Source organism: Homo sapiens, chromosome 8 (assembly GCF_000001405.40).
Source record: "Homo sapiens chromosome 8, GRCh38.p14 Primary Assembly".
Lineage (NCBI taxonomy): Eukaryota > Metazoa > Chordata > Mammalia > Primates > Hominidae > Homo > Homo sapiens.
The window spans coordinates 104,209,582-104,228,120 of NC_000008.11; the positions used below are offsets into that span (position 1 = coordinate 104,209,582).

The 18,539-nt window shown below is 37.6% G+C and overlaps 1 protein-coding gene across 66 annotated transcripts in view; it reads left to right on the forward strand.

Moving 5' to 3' along the window:
* RIMS2 (regulating synaptic membrane exocytosis 2) overlaps window positions 1–18,539 on the forward strand; it is a 755,485-nt gene that overhangs the window by 708,972 nt on the left and 27,974 nt on the right. The window contains exon 1 of one of the 66 annotated variants that reach the window (NM_001282882.2): window positions 13,753–14,212. The exons of the other annotated variants lie outside the window; for them this stretch is intronic. Coding sequence (NP_001269811.1) covers window positions 14,071–14,212 — 142 coding nt within the window. The 5' untranslated portion in view covers window positions 13,753–14,070. Of the gene's footprint in view, window positions 1–13,752; window positions 14,213–18,539 lie in introns of those variants that run through there. 66 annotated transcript variants of the gene reach the window in all.

Genomic DNA, 18,539 nt, shown 5'->3' on the forward strand with positions numbered 1-18,539 from the left:
TCACTGGCTTATTTTGTTTGTTGTTTGTTGTCTGTTTCCCCTTGCTAGAATATGAGCTTTAGGGGGCAAGGATCTTTGTTTTGTATACTAATGTGCCTGAAGTACTTAAGATAGTAGGTGCCTAAAAATTTTGTTAAATAAATGAAATATCTGATAGACTATCTTGCAGAAGAGGAATTAAACTTCTTGCATGTATGTTTGAAGGACACAAACTGGAAATGTGTTAAAGTTGCAGTTATACTGATTTGACTCAATAGTTAGACTTGAGTAGTAGAAAAAGCTTAAAAATACAATCCTGACATATATAATAAAAAATGAAATTGAGTCTATAAAAAGTAAGGGAAAGGGATATATAAGAAACCATTTTAGGCTGAGCAGGGAGCTTGCAATCACTACGTATTTTTAAATACCAAAGAATGAAAGAGAAACAGAGGGACATGCAATGAAAGATTCAGGCAAATTATGAAGGGAAATGATGTAGAACTATAAGTACAATACCACAAAGGCTAAAGTCCAAATGACCTGCAAATTTTTTGTATACGTAGAAACACCAAAAACAAGGTAGAAGGAAAAAATTGGAAAACAGAAAGCTGTGGAGAAAGTAAAATGAAGTCTTTTAAATATTTTAAGGCTCCCCCATGAAAGAGGACTTTTTTACAATTACAGAAGGCACAGCTAGAACCAATTTCTGGATTTTACAGTGAGGTAATTTTTGACATCATAGTAAGAATAATTATTTATTAATTAAAACCACAAATCTTCATCACTGAAAATTGTTCAAGAAGAGTTTACAGGTAGAAATATTACACTGCATAAAATATTAAGTGTCTATTACCTCTTCTGTACTTTGGAATTTCACTGGCTGTTTGTTTGGAAGGAGGGCCCTATACTTTGAGTCAGAGTGTTCTCTAGGAAAATTAAAGGAGATTCTTTTAAATTGAAAAAGGTATTTATGCAAAGGATTTATTCCTCTCCTGATCTCTACATACACATATCTCTCTTTTTTAAAATGTTGTTCTGGGACCCTTTTGGGAGTGCCATAAATCTACATAAAAATTCAGAAGGCACATCCGTGTTTGCCCATAGACTTCTGGATTATTGTGTGGAAATGCAGTATCACAGGGCCTTTCCATCTGACTTTTGCACAGTGGCAGGCTGCTCATTTCTTTTTCTAATTCAAGTTATATTTCTTTCACAGAAATTGACCTGTCAAGAACAGTGCTACATGGTATAACCTGAAGCAATATGTCCTAATATTTTAAATAAGGAGCTCAGTTCAATTATGTAGGAACAAAATGTATCTCTGACATAGACATTCTTGGGGTTGGGAGTAAGATGATCGACTGCAATCTTATGTCTGTTGAAATAAAACTTACATTATAGGCTTAAAACTTAAGAAATCTTTCCTCTTCATGTTGGACATTGTGCTACTTCAGCTGAGGACCTAGATTTTAAAATCATTCCAAACTAGAGACACACACCCAAAATCTAATTTATTTTATTACATTAACTCAACAAGATAACATGTTCTATATATTAGGCACTGGATGGGGAGAAAGTGTGCAGCAGGGAATAAAACAGAGGTTTTTTCTAATAAAGGTTAGAGTCGAGTAGGGGTGGGAAGAGAATAAAATATAAACAAAGACATTTATAAATATACCTTGCAATAATATTTATGAGAAAAAGAATAGGACACCACATGAAAAAATAAAATGGCCTTCTACTTTAGATTGGATTGCCAGGAAAGGCCTTATAGGAATGGGAAGTAAACCAATAACAAAAGATCATGAAGCAGAAAATAATTTGGCCTGTTTGAGGAACAAAACATTGTGATTTCAGTCTGGTGATCACCAGGGAGTACGACTTGTGATAAAATTAGACATACAGGTCCTCCAAGGTTATGCTACGTGTTTGTATTTTATTTTGATTGCAGAGATAAGACATTGAAGGGTTTTTAAGAGGTTCGTGACATGACCCAATGTGGAATTTTTTTTTTTTTTTGAGACAGAGTTTCGCTCTGTTGCCCCGACTAGAGTGCAGTGGCACAATCTTGGCTCACTGCAACCTCTGCCTCCCAGGTTTAAGTGATTTCTGGCTAATTTTTGTATTTTTGTTAGAGATGGGATTTCATCATGTTGGCCAGTCTGGTCTCAAACACCTGACCTCAAGTGATCTGCCCAACTCGGCCTCCCAAAGTGCTAGGATTACAGGCGTGAGCCACCGCGCGTGACTGGATTATTTTTTAAAGATAGTCCTAGCTGCTTTATGAGGAATATCTTGGGGGCAAGAGTGAAAGTATCTTGGAATAGGATTAAGAGAAATGGATAGTAATGAGATCTGTTTTAGAAGTAGGATCGACAGAATTTTATGATGATGATTGGACAAGAGGAGGCACACGGTAAGGGAAAGTAAGGAATAAAGGAGGATGTCCAGATTTTTGTTGTTTGAGCAACTATTTGGCTGCTGATGTCATTTATTTAGAGAGGGAAAATAAGAAAAGAAGTAAATTTCTGTGGGAAAGAAATCGAGAGTAGATTGAGAAGTCTGTGAGTTATTCTAGTGGTAATGTCAAGTAGACAGCTCTGAGACTCAGACGAGAGGTCTAAGCTAGATAATTACATTTGAGTAAATGCTTTTGGTTTTTAAAACTGGAAATGAAATTATATCCTCTGGAGGGAATGTATAATAAAAGAAGAGGGCCCAAAGTTGAACATGAAGGATATGTTACAACAGGTGTTGGAGGTGTACATTTGATAGAAGAGGTGAAGTCAGCCAAGGGTTTTTTTAAGAGGATGCCACAAAGATAGGAAGAAAACTTACAAGAATGTAATCCTATGGAAGTCAAGAGAAGATAATAATTTCAGATTAAAGAGTGTTCAACTCTGTGGAATGCTGCTCAGAGGGCAAATAAGATAAGGACCTGAAAGTCCCATTGGATGTGACAACAAGCTAGTCATTGGAACCTTCTAAAGAGCAGTTTAATTTTTGTTATTTTTGTTGTTGTTTTACTCTTTCCTGAGTCTCACACACACACACACGCATGTTCATTCTTAACTAAAACTAAATCATGATTTCTTTACTCAAGAGAACAGTATACTCTGTTCCTCTGATATTTGTGTACTTCACTAATTAGTAAGCTAGGTTTTAAAAGGTCTTATAAACCACTTCAGTAATTTAGTGCTATTATAACTGAGTGGAACTTAGATTGAATGACCTAAAAAAGTGAACACTCTCCTCATAAGAGATGACAATTTCACTATGCTACACAGACACATTGAGAACTGTGTTGAGACCTATGAGAAATGGTTGAGTATGGTGGGGGTGTGTTATAGCTCTCCGTCATACATGCTGTCCCCTCTACCTGTAAGATCTTTAACTCAATTTTTTCTTTACCTGTAAACCCCTATTTATCCTTCAAGTCTCACAATCAAAGAAACTTTCTCAGAAAAGTCTTCTTCGGCTGGGTGCGGTGGCTCAACCCTGTAATCCCAGCACTTTGGGAGACGGATCACCTGAGGTCAGGAGTTTGAGACCAGCCTGGCCAAAATGGTGAAACCCCATCTCTACTAAAAATACAAAAATTAGTCAGGCATTGTGGCACATACCTATAATCTCAGCTACTCAGGAGGCTGAGGCAGGAGAATTGCCCGAACTGGAAGGCAGAGGTTGCAGTGAGCCGAGATCATGCCCCTGCACTCCAGCCTGTGCAACAGAGCAAGATCCCGTCTCAAAAAGAAAAGTCTTCTTCCTTCTGTGACTTCCCCAAATTCCTATCTCAATTAAGTCCTCACTGTCATTACACTTTGCAGTTTTCTTTCATGGTACTTAACAATAATTATGAGTTAATTTTTGTGATTATTTGTTAACATCTGTCTACTCATTACATTGTCAACTTTATGAGGAAAAGCAGTCATTCCCGTTTGCTCATTATTTTGCTTTCAAGCTTAAGAAAGTGCCTGGGAAATAGTAGTGGTCAACTAATATCTGTTGAACAGATAGAAAAGAAATGAATGGGCCGGGTGCAGTGGCTGATGCCTTTAATCCCAGCACTTTCGGAGGCCAAGGCAGGCAGATAACGAGGTCAAGAGATCAAGACTTCATCCTGACCAACACAGTGAAACCCCGTCTCTACTAAAAATACAAAAATTAGTTGGGCGTGGTGGCACGCGCCTGTAGTCCCTGCTACTCAGGAGGCTGAGGCAGGGGAATCGCTTGAACCCCAGAGGCAGAGGTTGTAGTGAACCGAGATTGAGCCACTGTACTCCAGCCTGGTGACAGAGCGAGACTCTGCCTCGGAAAAAAAAAAAAAGAAGAAGAAGAAGAAGAAGAAGAAGAAGAGAAATAACCGCAAATAGAATAGCTTTGGGGTTTGTTAATTTGGTTACATTGTAGGCTGTAAATCATGGATCAAGACTTGTGGCTCCTTTGCAAATGTCTTTTCATAGTTTGTTGTCAAGTATGGGAAAGGAGATTGGGGTTTGAAATGTTATTCCATTAGAAAGTTGAGGTGCAGAAGGAGTTGCCAAGCAGAGGAATCCAAGTTATAAAGCAGTGGTCAAGGAGAAGCATTACAGCATTTTCCCTTAATTAGAATACATACTGATTTGCCTCTCCTTGTAATTACTTGTATTTATTAGAGAGTTTCTGTTTTATACCACAAATTTACCTCTTACTGAGACTGTTTTTCTTGGGTAATAGTCCTCTGTCTTGTTAGACGTGAGCCACTCACCTTATTGTGGATGTATAAATGAAGCAAATTATATGGAACCATTTTGAATTGGATTTTAGGAGGAAAACATGTTTAATCTGTATTATTATTTCCTATCATAAAGTTTCATATCAACAAGACAGACAAACCCTTATTGAAAGATTTTTTTTTTCTTTGAGACAGAGCCTCACTCTGTCACCCAGGCTGGAGAGCAGTGGCATGATCTCGGTTCACTGCAACCTCCACCGCCTGGGTTCAAGTGATTCTCCTGCCTCAGCCTCCCGAGTAGCTGAGATTACAGTTGCCCACCACCACACCCAGCTAATTTTTGTATTTTTGGTAGAGACAGGGTTTCACCATGTTGGCCAGGCTGATCTCTAACTCCTGACCTCAAGTGGTCTGCCCATCTTGGCCTCCCAAAGTTACAGGTGTGAGCCACCTCGCCAGGCCCGAGAGACATCTTTAACAGAGTATCTTAAGTGGGAATCAGCTGATGATGACTTGCGTAGATTGGTTCCTGAGTTGGCTACTTTGCCCACAGCCTTAACTGTTTACCAAATATACTAAGCTACAAATAGAACTACGTTCAAGCAACAGTCCACTTATACCCAATCTAGGTGATGTTTGACCTGGATCTGTATAACATGAATGTTTTCCGTGGGCTCTTTTTTTCCAATACGCTATTTAAAATCTTGCAATTTGTAATGCTTTGACAGACCCCTCACTCTTCTCTACTGCCTTTGGTCTTTAATAACTTTAGATGACTTTATTACAAATCTTATGTCTTCATACATAATAAAAAATAAAGTGTCTGCAATTTGAAAAGTCAACTAGACAGTTAAGCAAAAAATCTATGAAAAATGCCAAATTTTCTATTTTTATGTCAGCATATCAAGCAGTATAAGCAACTTATAACCATTTATATCCACTAACATATGACTTAGTTGAACAAAGTGGTAATCAAAAGAAGTCTTTATTGCCATAAATGTTGTAATGAATACATGAAGCTTGGCTAGTAATGAAAAAAAGGAACAAGTAAGAATTAGACTTTAATTGTGGTTAAGGTACTTTTTTATTTTTCCATTCATACCTAATATTATTCTAGTCACACTATGGTGTAAGGAGTAAATGAATAGTGAATGAATAAATAATAAATAAGGAAAAGTGTAAATATGCAAACTTTTTACAAATATTGCATAAAGTTATTGACATTGGTATCTGAAACTTAAAGTTTTTAGATCTTGCCATATATTTGTGTAGAATGTTTACACTCACAAAATCTCAAAGTGCTGTTCATCTCATAATGATATAAGAAGTTGCTAGGTGATGTTCATCTGGAATTTCAAGGAAATTATAATAGGAGACATGTTTCTTCTTTTCTCAAGTGTTTGAGGATATTCTTCTAACATTGCCATGAAGACTTTGTATGAATTTATCACAAAGCTGGAGCATTGCTTGGAACAGTGGAACAGAATGCGTGAGCAGGGAATTTCTTAAACTTGGAAACCATCCTTGCCACTACCACTGCCCTAGGGAGACTGGGAAAAATAGAAGCCCTCATGAGAAGCCCAAACTCTTGCCCATTTTCAAAGATCAAAAATAGGCATATATAGTAGTTATTATGGGCAGGGTAGAGAAACTTCCATTTTCAGTTTTCTTTGTCCCTATTTTCTGCCTACCAAACATCCTTCAAAATGTTTGGTTTATGATTGATTATATTTCATTTTTGGAAATATACTTTCATGGGTGGCCAAATAGCAATGAATTGCAAATCTCATGAATATATATTTCCTATCTTGTCTGGAGGCTGAGTTGTTCATGTGATTTTGGCTGAACTCATACCCATATGCTGATTCCTAAAACTTTTTGAAGACATTCAGTGAGAGTTTTAGATTCCTGGTGATAGCTAAATAAAGATTTACATAAATACGCCATATAAGAAAACAGAACTAATCATGTTAAAAGTTCCTTGTTGTAATCCCAGCACTTTAGGAGGCTGAGGCAGGAGGGTCACTTGAGGCCAGGAAATCGAGACCAGCCTGGGCAACATGGTCTTATTATCATGGTCAACAGTTCTTATTAGCAGTTTCATTGTCTAATTGTTGATCTCAGTAGAGTCTCTTCAGCTGTGTCACTTAGCAATTAAAGATTATGGATTGTGCAGTCATAAGGCCTGGATTCAAATATTGGGTTTGCTACTTGTGACATTGGACAAATTTATTTGTAACACTGTGCCTCAAACTTCATGGGCTTATTCCTGATCTCATTTCTTAATAAGCTATGTGACCTTGAGCAAGAGACATCCTCAATATGCCTTGGTTTCCTCATCTATATAAAGAGTATAGTAATATCTCCCTCATAGGATTGTGTGTGTATTAAATGAGTGTATGTGCTGGTAAGTAAAGTTGTTGAGGAAAAAGGCCTGGCTTATAGTAAGTGGGATGTAAGTGTTAGCCACTATTCCACTACAGCGTGAGCTTCATGAAGGTAGAGGAGGATTCTATCTGTATTTGTTCACTGCTGTATCCCCAGTGACTAGAATAGTGCCTGGCATGTGGTAAGCACTCAAGAAATATTTATTGAAGGAATATGCATCAATTTTCTTGTCTGTGAAATGAGAATAATGGAATTAACTACCTTATATAGTGTTTATGAAAATTAAATGAGACAATGCATGTGAAGAACTAAAGTAACCTATTATCATCATCATTATTATAAAGGGCCATAATCAAAATTAGAATCCAGATATTTATTCTTCCCCTGTATTATCTAACTACTCTGCTTTTATAACTCATTATTTTGATCTTTAGAGTTTTTTCCCCTTTATTCCTGAGTTAAATCTTACCATTAGTTTTTAGCTTACTCAATAAGTTTATTTTGTTAACTTCCATGGATATATTAGCATAAATCTCATTGCAGAGATAATGAAAATACTAATCATTTAATCTTTCTTCTCATACTGTGAATATCTTGTTTTTTTGTTTTTTTGTTTTTTTTGAGACAGGGTCCTGCTTTGTTACCCAGGCTGGAGTGCAGTGGCATGAACATGGCTCACTGCAACTTTGACCTCTAGGGCCTAAGTGATCCTCCCGCCTCAGCTCCCCAAGTAGCTGGGACTACAGGCACGCACCACCACACCTGGCTAATTTTGGTATTTTTTGTAGAGATAAGGTTTCACCTTGTTGCCCAGACTGGTCTTGAGCTCCTGAGCTCAGGCAATCCACCCACCTCAGCCTCCCAAAATGCTGGGACTACAGGCCTGAGCTGAAGTGTCCAGCTTGCAAATGTTTTTTGACCTCATCAATTTTTATGAAAGTTTCGGGTCGACCAGCTACTGAAGTATTACATCTGCTCTTCACTCTTGAAACCTGCTGAGTAAAAACCAAAAATACTTTTGAAAACTGAAATCACAAAAGCTTAAAATTTATTTGTACAATATTGACATAAAACTGGGGATGGAAGAAAAGATTATATATTTTGGATTTCATATTCACATCAAGGGTAATTTCTCAAGACTATTAAATACCTTTAGCAATTTTAAGTCAGTTTAAAAATATCAACTTCATGGATTTATCGCTCATGACTTAAATGCAATGATATTATATTACAGCAAAAAATAAAAAATAAAGTAAAATAATTTAGGATCCTGAGGGTTGGTTTTTAATAAACCAAACCAAAATATATCCACAAATATTCCTATTTAGCATAAAGACACTTGTATGTGAGGAATTAAGTCACAGTCACAGGTAATTGATACCAGTTGTGAAAACTAATATCGTATCTATCTTCACAACTGATGAATCCTCCTATTACCAAGAACAAGTGTATATCAAAAGAAAAGAGGTTAGTTGAGTCTGCAGCATGATTTATAACTTTTCATGAGAAATTCCCGTCTCTCTCAGCAACTAGCCTTTTCTGAGTTGACTGGAAAACACTTAAATAGTGATGGAAGTAGGCATTCGTTTTTCTACTTCTTTTTAGCATAGCCACTTCTGAGCCTTACTGCTTTTTTTTTCTTTTTCCATTACTTCCCAGAGGGACTTTCTTTCTCTTCCCTTCCCTTGGTATTAGCCAGCAGTTTGCATTCTCCTCATCATCAGCTACGTTAGTGGTCCCCAACATTTTTGGCAACAGGAAACAGTTTTGTCGAAGACAGTTCTTCCACAGACCAGGAGCAAGGGATGGTTTCAGGATGATTCAAGGGCATTACATTTATTGTGCACTTTATTTCTATTATTATTACATTGTTGTATATAATGAAATAATTATACAACTCACCATAATATAGAATCAGTGGGAGCCCTGAGCTTGTTTTCCTGTAACTAGACAGTCCTATCTCGGGGTGATGGGAGACAGTGACAGATCATCAAGCATTAGATTCTATAAGGAGTGCACAACCTAGATCCCTCACGTGTGCATTTAAAATAAGGTTCGCACTCCTGTGAGGCAGAGCTCAGGTGGTAATGCAAGCAGTGGGGAGCAGCTGTAAATACAGAACAGATGAAGCTTTGCTCACTCACCCGCCACTGCTCACCTCCTACTGTGTGGCTCAGGGTAGGCTGGGGACCCCTGGCTTACATCATTTGTAGCATAGAAAAGGGCAGGCTGCCACAGGCGTAACCATGTTCCTGATGGAACTAATCCATGGTCTAGACATGATAGAGCTACTTCATGTAACAACCTTTCTGAGTATTTACTTAAGTGATCAAACCTCTATTTCAGGAATAAACTAATTTCACGTAATTTAAAACTCTGGTGATTTTTTAAAAACTATTACAAAAAGTGATACATAAATGACATGTAACTTTCTAGCCCTGTTAGAATTGATGGGACTTAAATACATATATGGCTATTTAATATTAATGTTTTTATTTTTAAAGATTATGGATTTAACATTGGTATACAGTTTGAGTAATCACTATGGTTTTACAGATGCATTGTCGACATTTATTTTGGACAAAGTAACTTACTGCACAGTTAAAATCATATTTATAATCTATGATTTATGAAAGTATATGTGGTATAAGATATCTGTAATATGATGTACAGGACACTGAACCTGAAATCAGGAACCCTGAGTTTGAGTCTTGCTCTGCCACTTCGTAGTTAAGCAAGTCATTTAATGTTGACTTATTGTCTTATCTATAAAGAGATAATGATGACATTCTGTCAGGATTGATGTAAGAATTAAGTGGCATAATTACTATGTTTTATAAACTCTAAAGTACAACATATCTATAAAAATGTGAGTACACACTTGTCAAATATGATACTATGATAGTTTATCCAAGTTATATCTGTTTTATCTTTTCTTCAAAAAGGTGATTTTTATGTTTAATAGTGCAGTCTTTTATTCAAGGCCGTGTTTTGCTTTTAGATGACAATTTATTGTGTATATTTGTGACTCACTTTTTCTCTATAAATTAATTGGAAAGTTATAAATAATTTGAAATACTGGATGATAATGATTCTGGAATTACACTTAGTTTTATGTAATAAAATTATATAGTAGCCCATTACTTGAGAACTACATCCAAAACTACATATACTACTTGTATATTCTGATGTGAAGGAAGGACATTTTCAATCTTTTATCAGTAGTTTATTTTTATGTAAATTTTTAAATTCCTTAGGGGGTGACAGTACTTAGAATGGAATTAAGGAATAATAAATCAACTTATTAATATACATAAACCAGAAATATTATTTAGATAATGTTATACATAGGAAAACAATTGAACATAAAAATTTTTTTTAAAGTAGAATTCTACATTTTCTCAATAATTTCAGTATATTCCACAAGTTGTCATTCAAGACTAGAAGTCTCTGGCCATTATTGAAGGTCTGTCTCTCTGGTACCTCTGTGCCAACACTCTTTCCTTAAAGCTTTCTTCCCCTAAATAAGATTATTTTCTTCCTTCTCTTTCATTCTTTCTACTCTACCTTGTGCCATTCTTCCGTCACTCATCTATATCTGTAAGATCCTAGGAAAAAAATATCAAAAAAGCTTCCCAGGACAACCTTGTTCTGAAGCTGCAGGAGGGAAGTGGTGGTCATGTAGTAGACACATCTAGACTATTCCAGACTAACTTCTTCTTGGTTCATGAAACCAGGTTATTAACACAGACAAGGCAGGGCCCAGGCAACTCAGGCATAACCACTGATTCCGTTCTCAGACTCCCCATCCCCAGCAGTCACTTGCAGAAACCCAAGAAATCTTTTTCCAAAATGACTTTCAGCCAGCATTGTGATGTCCCTGAGTGCCAAAATAAAAGTTTTCCATGCATCCCCAGCCAATTTATTTTATTTTATTTTATTTTATTTTTGAGACACAATCCCACTCTGTTACCCAGGCTGGAGTGCAGTGAGACCATCACTGCTCACTACAGCCTCAACCTTGCAGGCTTAATTAAGCCTTTGTCCTATCTTAGCCTCCTGAGTTGCTGGGACTACAGGCATGACCCCCACACCTGGCTAAATTTTTACTGTTAACTTTTTCTGGAGATGAGGTTTCACTATGTTGCCCAGGCTGGTCTCGAACTTCTGAGCTCAAGTGATCCTCCCACCTCAGCCTCCCAAAGTGCTGGGATTGCAGGCATGAGCCACCTGAGCTCAGCTTGCCAATTTATTTCTTTAAGATTCTCTGCTCAATCTCTCTTCCTTGATACCTTCCCCCGATCTTAAGTTAGGGATGTCCAGTCAAAAGTACTCAAATTTTTCTAACCAAGTAACTTAATCTTTAGGAGAGTCTGACTGGTTGGTAAACTTGCCCATTTCTCCGAGTATAATTAGATTTGTATGGTAACAGCTGTTTCCTCTTAAATATAAATATATTTTCTATATTTGTTTTACCCTTTAATCTAAATTTTCTCTTACATAAAGTATTTTATTACATTAGATTCATGTTTTTCAAACTTTTTCAAAAGTGAGAAACACATTTTACATCACAGCTCAATACATACGTGCGCACACACATAAACATACATATTCATAAAACAATAGTGCAATTGATGCACTAACCATGTGGGCTGAACTCTGATACTGTATTGTATTTTTTTAATTCTAATCAAAACTTAATAAGTTATTTTCATGACTCATTTGTGACCCACAGTTTAAAAAAAATTAGGTGACTTTTAATAAAGTCCTTGCAGTTTCTAAAATTCTATGATTCTTATAATGAAAATCTCATTTAATAAAATTTTCTAGTCTCTGAATAAAAGTGATATGGTTTGAAAAAGTACTCATAGAGTTGTCTGGTTTTATCAATGTTGTTTTGAAATGCTGATATTTGAGGAAGATAAATAACGAAAAGAAAATTGGACTAACAGAGTTGTAGGGACATTAATGAGAAAGGACAAGTCTATCAGGAAAACAAAAGCAATAAATCTGGATGAGCCTAAGTCTAAACAGCTAAAGTTGTTACTTTTTCTTACCATGGAACTCTTATTTATACTGAAAGTTTCCTAATTTTAAGTGTATTTAAAAGGATTATTACTTGTATGCATTTTTCATACCTTCTAAATTGTGATGTGCAATGGACAAACAAAGTCCTTATCATACCTAGAAGGCTCTGTATGACCTATGTCTTTCTCTGACTCTTGTCTCTCTGTCCTTCACTCCTTCCCACTCACTCCAATTGCCCTGGCCTGTCTGCTGTTCTGTGGTCACACCAGGACATCATACCTCAGGGCCTTTGCACTAGAGGTTCTCTCTGCCTCAAACTCACTCTCTTCCTGGAATATCTGACTAGCCACTTCCTCAGGTTCTTCACACCTCTGTTCAAATGTCATACTGTCAGTGAGAACCCACCCTGACAACTCTTTTTGAATTGCAGTGTCCCATACCTCTTAACTTTTTATTTGCATTCATCTCCTTTTTAGCACTATATAATTTACTGATTTGTCGTGTCTCTCCCCTGCAACTAAAATGTAAGCTTCATGAGAGCAGGGATTTTTTTTAGCTGCTTTGATCACTGTTGCATCATATAAACATCTACCATGGTACCTGGCATATACTAGGAGCTCAATTAATATTAATTGAATGAGTATTTGAATCTTTCAGCATATCAAGCAAGTAACTTGTACATATATACTATCTAGGAACTATTTATTGAATAAATGAACCATTTTAGATTGCATAATTTACATTTTACGTTGAAATCCCCTATTACACACGCCCAGTGATCATGTTTGACAGGGTTAGGACTGAATAGTACCCTACCTTCCCACTTCCCTAGATTGGGAAACAGAGGTGGGATGACTTGTCTCAGATTACAAAAAGTAAGGCAGTCATCTGATTCCTGGGAAAACGAAATTAAAGTTGCTTTAGGTTCCGGGATAGAGATGTGCAGTTTGCAGAATGCATCATGTAATGTTGCTTATAAACTACTTTGCCCTAGTATGTTTGTGTTGTTTCCAAATTTGTGTTAACAGGATGTTATACCTTTTGCTTAGATGTTAAGCCGTACAATGTTGTCATTCTTAGCCATACTGGGTAGATTATTTAATTTAGAGAAAGAAGGCAATAAAAATTCCTAAAATTAAAACAATTTGATAGACATCATTGTGCTTTTCAGTGCTGGTGTTTATCGGTTCTTGGTTTCTTTAGTTCACTTTTTATCATTTTTAACAAAGAGAGTAAAAGAGAAAGCTTTAATTGTAGGTTTTCGTGGAACTTGGTAAAAATTGAGGAGCCTTTGTGTCATGACTTGAAGAAAATTTCAATATTTTTTGCCTGTGTTTGAGGAGCGTTAAAAAAAACTGTGAACCTGAGGAAAGGGAAAGTGACTACCAGAAATTTACCGGTTTACTTATCTGAGATGCCTAACTCACTGCATCTAATTAGTCACCACTCCCTGGCCTTAACCACGCGGAGGGAAGAGGAAACAGCAGGAGCTACTCGGAGCAGCTGCCCGGGACCTGAGGCGCGCGCCCCGGAGCCACCAGCCCACCGAGGTGCAGCCGCGCCGCCACCTCCCCCTCCGGCCGCTGATTGGCGGGGACCGCAGCATCAGCGGCATCTCCCTGCGCGGGGAGGGCAGCGAGACTCCAGCAGCTCCAGCCTCCAGGATTCTCAGCTCCCTCCCGGGCGAGACCTCGGACGTTCACTGCGAGCAGCCGCTCCGCCCGCCACCGCCTCCATCTCCTCCTCTGGACCCCTCTCCAATAAATTGGAGGTCCCGGCGGCCAGGAAAGCCACGTCTCCTCCGGGCTGGGTCAGGGAGGCAGGGGCCAGAGCCTCAGGGTCCCGTGGCACCAACCTGGCTTCTGGCCCACTGGTCCCGGAACCGCTGCGGACGCTGCGCCCCAGCCGCCAAGACGCCGCGTATCTTGTACCGCGGGAAAAGCGGGTCCTCGTCCAAGATGGGCCGGCAGGGCTTGGGGGGTGCCAGCGCTGCGGGGCGCTCCATGCAGCGCTCCCAGAGCCGGAGTAGCCTGTCTGCCTCCTTCGAGGCACTGGCCGGCTACTTTCCCTGCATGAACTCCCTGGAGGAGGAAGAAGGAGGTGAGACACCCCTTCCCCCGTAGTTGGTGTCTCTATCTGTTTAGAAAGTCGGTGGCTGGAGGGTTGGCCGGGGCAGAGAGAACTCCACGTAGCAGTGTCCCAGCCCCTCTGCTCTCCGGGACTGTGCCGGGGGCGACAGCCCTAGAGCACGTCAGCTGAGCAGAGAAGTTGTTTCTTGGTTATTTGGAGAGCTCCACAGGCGCCGACTTGGGAAAAGGCTCTCCTAGTGGAGTTGTATTACAAGTGCTTGGAAGTTGAAAGAGAATGTAAACTGGTGGGAGGCAAGGCGGCGCCTCTTCGGTGCACCCCACTCTGTTTTGGTTTACCCTTCGCAGTCCGGGTATTAGCATTCGGCCTGGAGGACAGAAATACTTGAAAACTGGAGGGAAATGCAGCAGCAAAACTTTGAAACAGGAATGTCAGCCTATGAAAACCCAAGATCGGATGAGGTGAAGGGGTTACACAGTGGACAGACAGTTAGAGGGTTGCTAGTACCGAAGGTGAGTTTGTGCTCAAGGCACAATCTCTGGTGTTTCAGCAATGCCATTGTAATTAAGCTAATGAAAAACACGAGGAGGAGGACTCGCTGTTTTAAACTTTTCACCAGTTGATTTGGAGTTCGTAAAGTTTTGAATAACATAACATGTATTTTCTTCATGAACTTTCCTATAAGATTTAACAACTAACACTGAAAATACAATTTGTCAATCAAAATGATAATTGACTGGTAAATAGTAAGTAGTGTCCCAACATTTGAAATATTTATTAATTTACTGATACACTAGTTGCAAACTGTGTTCATTTTTAGATGTATATCCGGAGTAGGTTCGTTATCATGATGTTAACTCTATTTTTGTAAATAACAGGGTTGGTTTTGCTTTTATCCCGAGAAAATCAATGACCTCTTATTAGGACATCTGTAGTGAGCCCTGATTTAAAAGAAATTGCCCGTTCTAAAAACAGATTGAAATATTTTTTTTCTGCTTTTTTTCCTGATAGGGGAGGGGGAAAAGTAGAAGATGGAGGATTGGTAATATGTCTGGAAAGTTGTCTTCAAACTAATTTATTAGCTAGAGCTATCCAAGTTTCTTCTAGGTTATTGTTGCAATATCAGTTGGATATAAATCAATATAGATTTAACAGCAGGGGACTTCCCTATATAAACATGATTTAATTTCCATACTAGTCCTTTTCTGTTTTTGTTTGTACGTTTACGTTTCACTTGCTTCCTATAATTAAATATTTAAAATTCTAGGAAATGTAAACAAGTCGAGAAGTAAATTAAATTGAGTAAATGAATGATCATAATTGTAGCTAAAACTTTTAGTACTTATTATTAGTCCGGCACTGTTCTACACTTGACGTGTATTCTTTTAGGCCCACAACAACCTTATGAAGCAGTACTTTTGTTATCCTCATTTCACAAATGAGAAGACTGAGGCAGGGAGAGAGTTCCGAAATTTGCCCAGGGTCACCAAGATGGTAGGTAATAGAGCCAGCGTTTGAACCCAGGCATTCAGCAACACAACCTATTCATTCAGCTCCCAAGCTATACTAGATTATTATTTTCTTATATTTGGCTACATTCACATACATAGTAAGTGATGAGGCTAGAATTTAACCACTTGTGCCTGAAAATACATATTTAAATAAAACATAGGTTATTATGGACTCATTTCCCAGATTTTTATTTTTACACCAAGTCTTCAGTCTTGAGTTTGCTTCAGATAAGGTATCATCCTTTTTCTTTAAATTATGATTAGGATTGTTGAGTTTACAAAATATCATTCCAAAAACCTTTTTGAGACAAGAAAAATGTATATAAATATGAAATTATTTCAATATTTGAAGTACGTTTGCTTAACTATGGCTCACACAGACTAATCCCAAAGGAAATTCCTACATCTACACATGGAAATTGGAACAGATTTCTATCCCATAATATGGCTTCTTAAGCTGCCAAGACAAAATGTTTTATATGGGAAACGGCGTTTTTAAAGTTAACCATACAGTTCTCTACTAGTAACTAGAGAGGAGACACTCTCCATAAATTAGAGGTTTTTCCATTGGCTTACAGTCATTTTTACAGCCACGAGTAGAAATCTTAACTTTTTTCTTTGATTTTGCGATTCTCTTAACACCTTTGAAAGTCCTGGAATTTTTAAAGGTATTTCAACATACTCTGCAGGATTGTAAAAGTTAGAAATCATTGGCCTAAAGCAGTGCTTCTCTACTTCCTTTTTTTTCTTTTGAGACACCCACACAGGATACATGAAGGTCATGTGGTTAACATATTCAGGATTATGTTACTATTATCATAACTGTGAGACTCATTCACATTTATAAAGAAAATCCATCCCACTGTATGATTTTCACACTGGTTAATAGCAACTTGTCTAAAGAGCACGGATCTACTAACCAGTATGATTTAACCAGTGTGATTTGACTAAATTAACCAATCAGTTCAGTAAGCCAGTCTGATTTTAAAGCTAGTCTCTTTTTTTTATTCTTTTCAGAAAGAGTTCAATAGCTAAAGAATTTCAAGTATACCCTGTCTTCCAGTTCCATATTCACATTCTCTTCTTGTACAGCGTGTTGAGTTTCCATTCTACACAAAAAGTGCCAAGAAGTCTACAGAGAGATCATATTCTTTTCGTTCATCCACTCATTCATTCATTCAAAAATATTTATTGGGGGTATTTGATGTGTTAGAAGCAATGAGTCTCTAATGAATTAGGTAGATGTGCTCCTTTCCCTCTCAGAGCTTTCAGCCTAACGGAGATAAGTAGACATTAATAGAAATAACTACATAATTATAACTGTGACAGGTGTTAGGAGGGTAAAGGGCAGAGTGCAACAAGAAATTATAAGAAAGCCTAATTTAGGAGTTAGAGAAGGGTGCCCTGAGAAAGTGAGGGTTAAACATTGATTCAGGTGTCAGTGATAACTCTCAGTTTCTCATGAACCAAGCCAGTATCAGCAGCCTCCCACACACCTTTGAAAAGAATTTTCCTGGAGCCCACAATTAATAAGTGGTGGAGTTAAGATATAAACCCAAAATCTGTCTTTGAAATTTATAATCTAATTACTCTATATGTTGCTTCTTCATTATTATATGACATTTCCTTTTAATATGCTATGGTCTTGAAAACCAAGAACAATAATAAAAGTTTCCATTCATTGTGCACTTTCTATGTGCCACATTCCTTTAATTTCATGATAATTTTTCAAGAATGTTACTATTTTCCTCATTTTACACATATGAAAACCAAAACTCAGAGAAGCTAAACAACTTGCCCCCAGATCATAAATCTCAGTGAAGCTTACTTCAGTGAGGATGAAAGGGACATTCCCATAAACAAAATAAATTAAGATTGTCGATGGTCTTTGTGGAATCGTTTTTGTATACTTGGAGCTCTTTTTTTTTTTTTTTGCATCCTTTTCCCTGGGTGTATTCCAGGTAGATGCTCTCCAAATCTCTGAGGTTTTTTTTTTTTTTAAGTGAAAGTAGTAATAGTACCTTACATGTTATTTAACAGTTTATAAATTATGTTTACTTATTTTATCACTGAACCCTTTGAGATAAGAATTATTTTCACTATATAAACTACTTGGGCTCGACACTGAGTCCACCTCCCTAATGTAGGATATTACTATGTGTAGAGTTTTCAAACATTAGAGACAATTATAGGAAAGAAGGAACTATTTCAAGCAAATGTTACCATTCTTAATAAGAGAAGCAGCCCCACAACTTCTCACCCATAGATCCAAGGGCAAATGATTATGGCCCTATAATGTAGGAAAATGGCACATTTTCTAATACTTGGGGAATCTGGTTTATCAGAAGCTATCTTAATGTTACATGTGGCTCTGGGTTAGTGATTCTTGTTTAATTATGTCCATATGTGATGAATTTGGCCTGCCTGATTTTATGATCTGCCACCTTTGTTTCAAATATAGTTTGGCAATCATACAGAAGAGATCCTATCAGCTTAATACTATAAAACTGAATAAATTAACTCATCTGACTTCTTTTACATCCCACTAGCTTAAAAATAAATTATAGGAAAACCATCTAAGAAATAAGAATAGCTTTAAAATCACCAGAAAACTGAGGAAAGAGTCTTTGCATGTGATAGTGAAGCTATGAGGAATTAAAATAAAATTGACTAAATAAACTGGAATAAAAAGACCTATTTAACTCAGCCTCACTCTTTGTGTGTTTCTTTTCTTTTTTTTTTTTTTTTTTCTTTGAGACAGAGTCTTGCTCTGTCGCCCAGGCTGGAGTGCAGTGGTGCGATCTCGGCTCACTGCAAGCTCCGCCTCC